Source organism: Homo sapiens, chromosome 9 (genome assembly GCF_000001405.40).
Source record: "Homo sapiens chromosome 9, GRCh38.p14 Primary Assembly".
Taxonomy (NCBI): domain Eukaryota; kingdom Metazoa; phylum Chordata; class Mammalia; order Primates; family Hominidae; genus Homo; species Homo sapiens.
In genome coordinates this window covers 34924027-34936391 of record NC_000009.12, presented here as the reverse complement: position 1 = coordinate 34936391, position 12365 = coordinate 34924027, and the positions used below count along the sequence as shown (strand labels likewise).

Below are 12365 nucleotides of genomic sequence, written 5' to 3'. Positions count from 1 at the left end.
TCCAGCCTGGGCACCATTGAGCACTGAGTGAACGAGACTCCGTCTGCAATCCCGGCACCTCCGGAGGCCGAGGCTGGCGGATCACTCGCGGTTAGGAGCTGGAGACCAGCCCGGCGAACACAGCGAAACCCCGTCTCCACCAAAAAAATACGAAAACCAGTCAGGCGTGGCGGCGCGCGCCTGCAATGGCAGGCACTCGGCAGGCTGAGGCAGGAGAATCAGGCAGGGAGGTTGCAGTGAGCCGAGATGGCGGCAGTACAGTCCAGCTTCGGCTCGGCATCAGAGGGAGACCGTGGAAAGAGAGGGAGAGGGAGACCGTGGGGAGAGGGAGAGGGAGAGGGGGTGGGAGCGGGAGCGGGAGCGGGAGAGGGAGAGGGAGACTCAATTTTTTTTTTTTGAGGACTCTTATTCACCCTAGATACTTGGCACGGGAATCACTTCACCCCACTGCTGAAACTCTATCCCTTACCAGTAGGGCTGCAGCTTCCACAGTGTATCTGTATCCCAATTTAACCTCTTTTTTCCCTCCTCTTTGTCCTCATCTGTCTTCATTGTCATCATCATTCTTATCTGTACTGGATAATTTTCGCATTCTCATCAGTACACAAATATGTTGTGAGATACTGTTGACACACACACACACACACCCCCCCCCCACACACAAATACACTCCTTTATTCCACAACCCTTTTTAATTTATGGCTCTTTTCTCTGTTATCCTTTCCAGTGAAACTCTTTCCTATGTAGCTGTCTCCACCACCACCTCTCTTCCCATTCTCTCTCTTTTTTTTTTTTTTTCAGATGAAGTCTCGCTCTGTCCCCCAGGCTGGAGTGCAGTGGCACAGTCTTGGTTCACTGCAACCTCTGCCTCCCGAGTTCAAGCAATTCTCCTGCCTCAGCCTTCCAAATAGCTGGGACTACAGGCACGTGCTACCATGCCCGGCTAATTTTTGTATTTTTAGTTGAGATGAGGTTTCATCATGTTGGCCAGGCTGGCCTCGAACTCCTGACCTCAGGTGATCTGCCTGCCTCAGCCTCCCAGAGTGCTGGGGTGCTGGGATTACAGGCATGAGCCACTGCGCCCGGTTCCATTCTCTCTTGAACCCACCACATCAATTAGACTTTCATTCCTACCCTTCCACTGAGAAGGGTCTTGTAAAGGTCCCCAGTGGCCTTCAAGTTATGAAATCCAGGATTCAGTTCTCAATCCACATCTTACATGTCCTCCAGGTACCATTAACGTAGTTGATCATTCCCTCTTACCTTAGTAAACAATCTTCACTTGCTTTGGCGACACCACATTCCTCTAGTTTTCTGCCTGTGTCATGACCTGCTTTTTCTTATATTTCTCATCTCTAAATGTTGACTCAGGGCTCAGTCCTTTCCTTTATCTATATTCACATCCTTTCAGGGGTCGGCAAACTACTGCTACAAAGGGTCAGAGAGTAAATTGCTTCTGTAAAAGGCCAGAGAATACTTTTGGTTTTGTGAGCCATATGGTTTCTGTTGCAACTACTCTAGAAGCTGTAGACAGTATATACATGTTGAATTGATCATTGTCATGACTGCTACATTATTCAGCACCCATTATGTGCCTTACATTGCTAAATAAATGATAATTTGTCAACCTGGTATTTCACCATAGCTACCTGAGCATTACTGGAGCTCCAAGGAAGGAAAAGTTCCCTTCCTGTGTAAGGGAAGGGCAGAGTCCTATTTTGAAAGGTCTGTATACTTCTCCAGGTCTTGTGCCCAATTTTGTTTGAGAGTCAGGGATTTCGAAAGGCTTAAGGCTCAGGAGGTCCTGTTTTTTTTCCAATTAATGTCAGAATTCAGCCTTTGCTGAGAGTAGGAAGGGGGGGCTGGGGGTACACAGGAGGCATGTTCAGCAGCTGGGAGGAATGAGGGACAGCTCTCAGCAGGGTCAGAGGAAGAGGGAGGTTACTTTATTTATTGCGATGGGGTGATTAAACTCCCAAAATGAATTTTGAGAGACAGCTGCACACAGAATAGAGATAGTGATTAGAACTAATTACTGTTGTTGTAGATGTTTTGCATTTGTACGGCACTCTGTATTTACAAAGAATTTTGTAATCACTTATTAACTCCCCCTCACCATAGACTTGTGACATAAGCAATGTTACTACATGTTTGTTTCTGCCTTCTGGAAAGAATCTGAGTGGCTGTGGCCACACACTGAAATTGTGGAATCAAAATCCTCACTGCAACTCTCTTACTCCCAGTGTGATTTTGAGAATCTATATAATGAGAACTTGGACATTGTCTTACTCAATAATTTTACTATGAAGAATAACTCGTGAAGATGGTTTAGTGCTTTGCTAAATTAAAAAATATATCATCTGGAAGGACCTAATAACAGTAATAATCTCAGGCTGAGGCAGGCGGATCACTTGAGGTCAGGAATTTGAGACCAGCATGGCTAACATAGTAAAACCCTGTCTCTACTAAAAGTACAAAAATTAGCCAGGTGTGGTGGCACCCACCTGTGATCCCAGCTTGAACCTGGGAGGCAGAGGTTGCAGTGAGCCAAGATCATGCCACTGCACTCCAGCCTGGGTGACAGAGCGAGACTCTGTCTCAAAAAAAAATTAATAAACTCTAACTTCAGTTGCCTCCATGTTTTTTTGTTTTTGTTTTTTTTTTTTTGAGACAGAGTCTCACTCTGTTGCCCAGGCTGAAGTGCAGTGGCGTGATCTCAGCTCACTGCAAGCTCAGCCTCCCCGGTTCACGCCATTCTTCTGTCTCAGCCTCCTGAGTAGCTGGGACTACAGGTGCCCACCACCATGCCAGGCTAATTTTTTTGTATTTTTAGTAGAGACAGGGTTTCACCGTGTTAGCCAGGATGGTCTCCATCTCCTCACCTCGTGATCCACTCACCTCGGCCTCCCAAAGTGCTGGGATTACAGGCATGAGCCACTGTGCCCAGCCTCCTCCAGGTTTTTTGAAATAAAATTAATAATAGAGTGAGTCTATATCATAGAATTTTTACATGGCCAGTGCTTAGCATAGTGCCCAGCTTGTTTACTTAATAAATGCTTAATAAATATTAGCCATTATTAATATCATAAGAAAATCTGTGTAATATATTCTCATTGCCTCTACTTGATTGCTTTAATGTTTCTGACTTTGAATAAAGATGCATACACATGTTTATTCACTTGTTCAGCAATATTTATTGATTGACTACTACTTATCAGGCATTGTTCTTGGAGCTAAGGAAATAGTGGTGAATATAAAAGGAGTTCGTTAGCAGGGCGTGGTGGCATGCATGTAGTATCATATACTTGGGAGGCTGAGGCAGGAGGATCTGTTGAGCCCAGGAGTTTGAGGCCAGACTGGGCAACATATCAAGACACTGTCTCTTTGAAAAAAAAAAAAAAAAAAAAGAGTTCCTGCTCTCATGAAGCTTATACTGTGGGGAGGGGACTCATATTATCATGTTGGAGGGGCTCACATTCTAGTGGAGTTAGGTTGTGATAGAGAAGAGAGAAGCAGTGATTCAGTGATTGCAGTACATTTAGAAAATATGTGGAGAAAATTTTTCTGAATTTTTATATAAAATAGTATTTTTTATAGTGACAGGTAAAATATATTTATAAACTATTAATTTTATATAAAATTACTTAAGTATATACTTACATATTTTTAAGAATATACTTATTAATTGTAAAATATTTAAGGAAAAGACTATTATACAAGTAGTAACACCATACTGAAATTTGGAAAAATAGAAAAATTATCCATAATTTCATTACTAATTTTATTCATTTAAAATTGCCTTGGCACATTTTAAAATATAGTTTATTCAGCACACATTTACTGAGGATCTATTTTGTGCCAGGTACCTAGTCCATGGGATATTCAACAGTGGTTAGGTGAGGCTAGTGAGATCATAGGTAAAAGTAACTAAGAGGTAATTATGACATCCTTTCCCCTGGTATCCCATACAGTAGGATCCTAGAGAAAGACAGCTACTGCGAGTCTGCCCATTTGCCCTCTGCAGAACCTCTGGGCTAGAAGACATCAAAGTTCAACCCCCTTTTCCATGCTTGAATCTCTTACCACATCCCTGGAGTTCTTGCTGCTTCAGCATGGGAAAAAAATGGGCTTAGTTTCCTGACATTTGGGCATGGCTTGGGGTTGCAAACAGCATTCTGAACTCCCTTAGCCCAGGGGAATATTGGCTATGTTGAAAAAAGCAGGTACAGATGATAGACAGAAGCAGGATTAAGCCCCTAGGAGATGCCAGGTGGCTGAAGACCAGAGAGAAGTTTCTGGAGATAGAGAGGAGCCCCAGGTTCTCACTGTTGTGTTCTCACCCTCCCGTGATTTCATGGGAAAATAGTCACTCCTTACCCCACACCATAAGGACTTACACTTTTCTTTCTTTTAGGCTTATGGGTTGAGCTGGAAGCCCAAGTCCCTTCAATATAACCCTGAAACAAGTTAATTTCACATTCTACAGGCTCAGGATTTAGCCTCTTGCCCTCTTTTCCCACTTTCACCAGTATCTCCCCAGGCTGACTTCTTGCCTAGTGTGTTTGTTAGTCCATTCTCACATTGCCATAAAGAAATACCTGAGGCTGGGTTGTTTATAAAGAAAAGAGGTTTAATTGGCTCACAGTTCTGCAGGCTGTATAAGAAGCATGGTGGCTTCTGTTTCCCATGAGGCCTCAGGGAGCTTTTAGTAATGGTGGAAGGCAAAGCAGGAGCAAGCACTTGCGCAGCAGGACCGGGAAAGAAGGGGGAGGGGCCACACACTTCTTAATTTTTTATTTATTTTTTATTTTTGTTGTATTTCAATAGTTTTTGGAGTACAGGTGATTTTTGGTTACATGGATGAGTTCTTTAGTGATGATATCTGAAATTTTGGTGCACCCATCACCTGAGCAGTGTACTGTACCTAATATGCAGTCTTTTATCCCTCAACCCCCTTCCACCCTTCCCCCTGCATCCTCAAGTTCATTATACCATTCTTTTTTTTTTTTTTTTTTTGATACAGAGTCTTGCTCTGTTGCCCAGGCTGGAGTACAGTGGCACTATCTCGGCTCACTGCAAGCTCCGCCTCTCGGGTTCATGCCATTCTCCTGCCTCAGCCTCCCGAGTAGCTGGGACTACAGGAGCCCGCCACCATGCCCGGCTAATTTTTTGTATTTTTAGTAGAGACAGGGTTTCACCATGTTAGCCAGGATGGTCCGGATCTCCTGACCTCGTGATCCACCGCCTCAGCCTCCCAAAGTGCTGAGATTACAGGCGTGAGCCACCGCGCTCGGCCTCATTATACCATTCTTATGGTGCCACACACTTTTAAACAACCACATCTCATGAAAACTCACTCACCATCAGGAGAACAGCACTGAAGGGATGGTGCTAACCCATTCATGAGAACTTCACCCCATGATCCAATCACCTCCCACCAGGCTCCACTTCCAACATTGGGGATTACAATTCGACATGAGATTTGGGCCGGGACACAAATCCAGACCATATCGCCTACATATGTTTCAAACTGGGATGCAGTTTCCCAATTTATTCCTCACCCTTCAGACACTGAAACAAGTTTATGAACAATATTTAGCTTTTTAACATTAGAATTGGAGTTATAATATTGAAAGATGTTGAAAAGGTAATCTGGGCTAGTTCCTCTCCACATCCCTGACCCTATCTGAGAAGTTTGTTAGCTTCTTTGTTCTTCTAAAAAACATCAATTCCCTAATGGCAAGATTCCATAAGAGAAGAAGAATTGTCATACCATTGCTAGAAATCTTCATAAATACCAGGAGTAAATGTCCCTGATCTTTGTGAAAATGCATTTGGGGCTCCTTCGCTTCCTTCCAGCCCTTTCCGGACATATCCCTTGATTCTGCTCTGGAGGTGAGCACTGGCCACAAAGTCCTGCACTGTCTTTATTTAGGACACCAGGCCCACAGGATTCTGGGTGCCTCCTTCAGTGAAGAGGCTTCTGCACTCTACCCTTGTGTCAGAAATCCCATAAAGTTAAGGAACAAGAGATGGTAAACCATTTCAGGAGATAAATCATTTCAGACACACCCAAATGGGATGTCTTATCTCACGTTCCTTCTCTTTTACCAAAGGAAGAGTCAACCAGGTTATCCCCGACACAAGAGACCCGAAGCATGAGTCTCGGCACCACTTAAGTACACTGAGAAACCTGCACAAACCAGTGGCTCCTCCCAGACACTGAGAAATTAAACTTCAGGCTTGGATGAAGCCCCAGACATTTTAGGGAGATGATCAACAATTTTTCTTCTCTATTTTACGTGGAAATGCTAATTTCACTTGCAAAAGAGAAGCCCCAAAATAGTATTCTTTATGATTATAACAGCAGAAATGTAGGAGTATAAAAGTTGTAATGTTATAGACAAATTAAGCATGAAATGCAAATATAATAGCAGAGTGGGCTGGGTATCCAGATCTCGCTGAAATTCTCTGAAAGGGTTACAATGTAAAGCTTCTTCAGGGGACTAAAGGACCACAGTGTTAGGGAGAAACAGTAGGGGAAAAAAGAGGATGAAGAGTCGGGGAGGCCATCTTAGGTTTGTGATCTCTCTTCAACTCTTCTCAGGAGGCTGATCACAAATTTGAATACTTGCAGCAGTGAATTCTCCCACGGCAGTATGTGTGCTTGAGCTAATAGCTGTTACATGGCGGGGCTGTAGGGGGCGACAATACAGATTGCTGCTTATGGTGACTCTCACAGCTTAACGATATTTGATTACCTGCAAATCTGATTGCTTTAATCCTCTGCTCTAAATTCTTCAACAGATCCCAGTACTAATAGAATAAGATCACTCATCATTCATTAGTTTGCTCATCTCATCCCTTCATTTTTTTCCCCACAAATATTTATTGAGTAATAGACCCTGTGCTAGGTGCTGGAGATGTAGCAGTAAAGAGAACAGAAAAGGGAGTCCCACCCTTGTGGAGTTTGTTCTGGTGGAGACAGACCATAAGCAAATAATTTAAATGGAGATAATAGTTTGATAATAGATTGATGTGGATTTTTTTCACAGACACCCTAACCCAAATCATATTTAAAAAATCCAATCATATTCCCCTGCTGCCATTCCATCAAAATGGTCCCCACCTAACAAACAAAAGGAGCATATGATAAAGGGGAAACTCCCTCCAGAGGAGGTGAAATAAAAAGAAGCACTTTTCATTGACAGTGGGAGTATGGAGGTGGGATGATGCAATAGAAATATTCAGATAGGGAGAAGGGTGACCTGAGATCCTTTGATCTTGGTGACAGGGTACAAGCCTCAGAGAAGCTCTATGTTTGACATGGAGGTGGGGGAGGGAAGAGTGGGCTATAGCACAGCATCTGTGAAGGCAAGTGTCTAGGGAGTGCTGCTGAAATCATGCTGGGTTCCCAGTGGTCTGTATCTAGAAGCGATTCAAAAGTTCCTGTGTAGCCCCAGGGTACCAAGAGGACTGCAAGACCAAGGGACTCCTGGACTACTGAGATGAGAGCAGTAATGGAGTTTGGTGCTTCCAGAGTTCTGGTGGTAGTGTTTGTTTGTCCATCCCAAGTGGATTCTAGGACAGAAGTTAATGGACAGGGATGGATTAGAGATAAGCTGGATGATACATCTCAATTGGAGTCCAGCAGAAAATGGCAACACATAGACCAGCTGTACCCAGGGAAGAGCAGTAAACTTTCCCTTATACAGACACTGTGCTCCCATAGGAGAAGGGAGAGGGGAAGAACAATTCTATAAGGGCTGAACTTTGAATTAATGCTTACCAGGAAGAGACTATCACACATGAAAAGATGGAGGGAGAATGAAAAAAAGACTGGCCTGATAGGAAAGGTTTAGCTCAGGAGAGTCTTTTTTGCCACAAAGCAGAAGCATAAACTTTGTTGACTCATTAGTGGGTTTTAAAAAAATTTTTAATTTTTGTGGGTATATAGGTGTATATATTTATGGGGTACATGAGATGTTTTGATACAGGCAAGCAATGCATAATAATCACATCATGGAGAATGGGGTATCTATCCCTTAAGTATTTATCCTTTGTGTTACAAACAATCCAATTATACTCTTTTAGTTATTTTTAAATGTACAATTATTATTGGCTATAGTCATCCTGTTGTGCCGTCAAAGAGTAGATTTTTTTTTTTTTTTTTTTGAGACAGAGTCTCACTCTTGTTGCCCAGGCTGGAGTGCAATGGCGTGATTTCAGCTTACTGCAACCTTCACCTCCTGGGTTCAAGCGACTCTCCTGTCTCAGCCTCCCAAGTAGCTGGGATTACAGGCACTCTCCACCATGCCTGGCTAATTTTTGTATTTTTAGTAGAGGCAAGGTTTCACCATGTTGGCCAGGCAGGTCCAAAGGTAGATCTTATTAATTCTAGCTATTTTTCTATATCCATTAACTATCCCCACCTCCCCCCAGCTCCCAACTCATTAATGTTTTAAAACATAAGTTTCATGAAGTCACACCTCTGCTTAAAATCCTTCAATAGTGACATTGGCAAGATGGCTGGATAGAGATGCCTGGTATTCATCTATCCCACAAGAAAGGCCCAACACAATGAATAAACAAACTAAGGTTTGACTGGAGTGTGGAAGGGAGAGTGGTGGAGTGTGGTGGGGGAGTGGAGATGCACCTGTGGTGATCAGAAATCCAGGAGGGCAGCGAGGAAGCACTGGGCCTCTATAGCCCTGTCTCCCCCACCTGGATTGGATGTGCCCAGAGTCAGGAAGGACTTCTTATTGCAGGGAAAAGGTAAGCACAAGATCTCCACCAGCCCCCACTGGCACTGCAAAAACCTACAGTCCTTATTACAGAAGAATCCTACGGTCTTCCCAAGCCCTGAGCCCAGTTTGAAGAGCTGCTGGGTATGCAAGCAGCTACATTGCTCCAGATTAGGAGAGCAAGGTGTGCACTCCCCATTCCCCCCATCCCACTCCCTGTGGGCCAAGCTGCTGCAGCATAATGCCATCTTGAGAAAAGAGCAAACTCTGAAGCACACCCTGTTCTGGGGGCCGGTAGCCACTGCATATCTCCAGCACTGGGGCGCTCCATCCTCATTATGCCAAGCCCACACCACACGGTTGGCTGAATGCCATACGTCAGCTGCACAGAGCTTGGGCCTAGGATCAGCTGTGACTCTGGTCCTGCACAGCAAGAAAACAAACCCCTGCTTACTGCACTTCCAGCCAGATGAACAGTCTGCCAGTCCTGCCCAGGGCCAACCTGCCTTGAGCTGGCCAAACTGCTCTGCACCCTCCCACAAGAGAGAGAGGCCCCTGAGCCTCCTAGTAGCTAATATGCACCCAGGCCAGTGGAGTGGCTATGCTCCCATGCTCAGGACCGGAGAAACAGCCCCACAGCACCCCTGCCTCTGCAGACATGCCCCTGGCCTGCCTAATGGCCCTGCATTTCCCATAAAGACCTGGGAAATACTCCTTCAGGCTGCCCCCGGTAGGCACGACCCCAAACCAGCTAAGCAGCCAAGAGCCCACATCCAGGACTTGAGAAACAGCTCTGTGGGCCACCACTAGTGAACATGCCCTGGGCTGGCCAGGAAGCCATGTGCCTGCATACCAGGCCTAAGAAACAGCCCTGTGGGCCATCTCCAGCAGAAGTATCCCCAGGTCAACTGAGCAGCCACGAAGCTGTGTCATGAGCCTGAGCAACAACCCTGTGCCTGCCCCCAGACCTGTCTCCTACGCCAACACAGCAGGTGTGCACCCATGTCTCAGGCCCCAAAAACAGCCCCACAGGCCACCTCTGGTGGGCATACCTGCAGGCCAATCAAATAGCCCTGTGCTTACATCTCAGACCTACAAAACAACCCTGTGGGCCACCCACTGCAGAAACACCCCCAGGCCAGTCAAGCAGTTGTGCAGCTGTGTCCTGGGCCTGAGAAAATGTCCCATGAATCACCCCATCAGGTGTATCCCTAGGCCAGCCAAGCAGCTATGCACCCATATACCAGGCCTAAGAGACAGCCCTGCTGGCCTCTCTGGTGGGCATTCCTCCAGGTCAGCTGAGCAGCCTTACACCCATGTCCTAGGCCTTCGAGAAACAGCTCTGTGAGCCACTTCTGGCAGGCATGTCCCCAGGGTGGCCAAATAACTCATGCTCCTGGACAGAGTAATAGCCCCATGGCCCCAGCCCCAGTGAGCCAGATCCCAAGTTGGCCAACTCACCATATGCACACACATGCCTCTGACCTGAGAAACAGGCCAGTGAACCCAGCCCTGGCAAAGTTGCACCACCATTGCCACAAATTATTTCAGACTAGGCCACTGAGAAATGGCCAAATGCCACTAGTGTGGATAATGGCTGAAGAAACTACATGGAGGTTACATTACACTACTGTATCTTCCTAAAACCAAGGCCAGTACACCCCATGAACCAACACCCCAGGTCCCATTCATATAAACAAGTCTTTTCTTATGAAACCTACTCCATAAAATTGGAAGAGGTGATTTTTCCACCAAAGGCATATAAATCAACATAGGAACACACAATCATGACAAAGCAAGAAAACATGTCACCTCTAAAGGAAAAAGACAATTCTCTAGTAACAGGCCCCAATCTTGAGGAAGTAGATGAAATTCCAGAAAAAAGAATTCAAAATAACAACCTTAAGGAAATGGATTGAGATACAAGAAAAATACAGATAGACAATTCAATGAAATCAGGAAAACAATTGATAATTTGAATAAGAACTTCAACAAGAGATAGATATCATACAAAAGAGTCAAACAGAAATCCTAGAGCTAAAAAAGTCAATGAATGAAATTAAAAATACAATCCACAACTTCAATAATAGACTAGACCAAGCAGAAGAAAGAAGAAAGCCTACTAAATTTTTGGCACACTATAAAGCAAACAAGTATTTGTATTATGGGTGTTCCTGAAGTAGAAGAGAAGGGGAAAGATGAGGAAAATATATTTAATGAAATAATAGCAGAAAACTTCCCATGTCTTGGAAGAGAAATAGACGTTTAAGTCCAGGAAGCTCAAAGAATTGCAAGTAGATTCAACCCAAACAGGTTCTCTCTGAGGAACATTATAGTCAAATTGTAAAAAGCCAAAGACAAATAATTCTAAAAACAGCAATAAAAAATGTCAAGTCACATATAAGGGGCCCCACTAACAGCGGATTTCTCAGCAGAAGCCTTACAAGCCAGGTGAGTGAGGAGTGAATGGGATGATATATTCAAAATACTGAAATAAAAAAATCCTGCTAGTCAAGAATATTATAGCCAGCAAAGCTATTATTCAGAAATGAGGGAGAAATAAAATCTTTCATAGACAAGCAAAAATGAAAGGAATTCATTACCACTAGGCCTTACAAGACATGCTCAAGGGAGTCCTACATCTGGAATTGAAAAGATGATTACCATTATCAAGAAAACATGTGAAACTATAAAACTCACAGGTAGAGCCAATATACAAAGAAGAAAGAGAAAGGAATCAAAGCTTAGCACTACAGAAAACCACCCAACTGCAAAAATAAACAATAAGAGAGGTGGTAAGGAACAAAAGATATACAAAACAACCAGAAAACAAATAACAAAATGGCAGCAGTCCTTACTTATCAATAACAACATTGAATGTAAATGGACTAAACTCTCCAATCAAAAGACATGGAGTGACTGAATGGATAAAAAACCAAACCCAACTATCTGCTGCCTACAAGAAACACACTTCACCTATAAAGACACAAATAGACTGAAAATAAAGGAATGGAAAAAGATAATCCATGCAAATGGAAACCAAAAAAGAGCAGGAGTAGCTATACTAATATCAGCTAAAATACATTTCAAGACAAAAACCATAAAAAGAAACACAAACGGTCATATTATATGTTGAAAAAGGGGTCAATTCAGCAAGGGTATGTAACAAGTATTAATGTATATGCAGCCAACACTGGAGTACCCAGATATATAAAGCAAATATTATTACAGCTAGAGAGATAGACCCTTATACAATAATAGCTGGAGACTTCAACACCCCACTTTCAGACTTGGACAGGTTTATCTAGACAGAAGATCAACAAAGAAACAAAAGGACCTAATCAAAATTTACAGAACATTTCATCCAATGGCTGCAGAATACACATTCTTCTCCTCAGCACATGGAACATTCTCAAGGACAGCCCATATATTAGGCCACAAAAGAAGTCTTAAAAATTTCAGGAAAACTGAAATAATATCAAGTATCTTCTATGACCAAAATGGAATAAAACTAGAAATAATAAAAGGAATTTAAAAAACTATACAAGCACATGGAAATTAAACAATATGCTCTTGAATGACTAGTGGGTCAATGGAGAGATTAAGAATGAAATTGCAAAT

General features: G+C 43.6%; 1 protein-coding gene across 6 annotated transcripts in view, besides 2 other annotated features; it reads right to left on the bottom strand.

Moving 5' to 3' along the window:
- Positions 1–12365, bottom strand: part of PHF24 (PHD finger protein 24) — a 316938-nt gene that overhangs the window by 46153 nt on the left and 258420 nt on the right. The window lies entirely within an intron of this gene.
- Positions 9072–9592: an enhancer, noted in NCBI's record as "H3K27ac-H3K4me1 hESC enhancer chr9:34926797-34927317 (GRCh37/hg19 assembly coordinates)". NCBI's record gives its function as "activates a minimal SCP1, AML or CMV promoter by ChIP-STARR-seq in primed H9 embryonic stem cells {active_cell/tissue: H9 hESC(primed)}" and the evidence as "EXISTENCE:reporter gene assay evidence [ECO:0000049][PMID:30033119]".
- Positions 9593–10114: an enhancer, noted in NCBI's record as "H3K27ac-H3K4me1 hESC enhancer chr9:34926275-34926796 (GRCh37/hg19 assembly coordinates)". NCBI's record gives its function as "activates a minimal SCP1, AML or CMV promoter by ChIP-STARR-seq in primed H9 embryonic stem cells {active_cell/tissue: H9 hESC(primed)}" and the evidence as "EXISTENCE:reporter gene assay evidence [ECO:0000049][PMID:30033119]".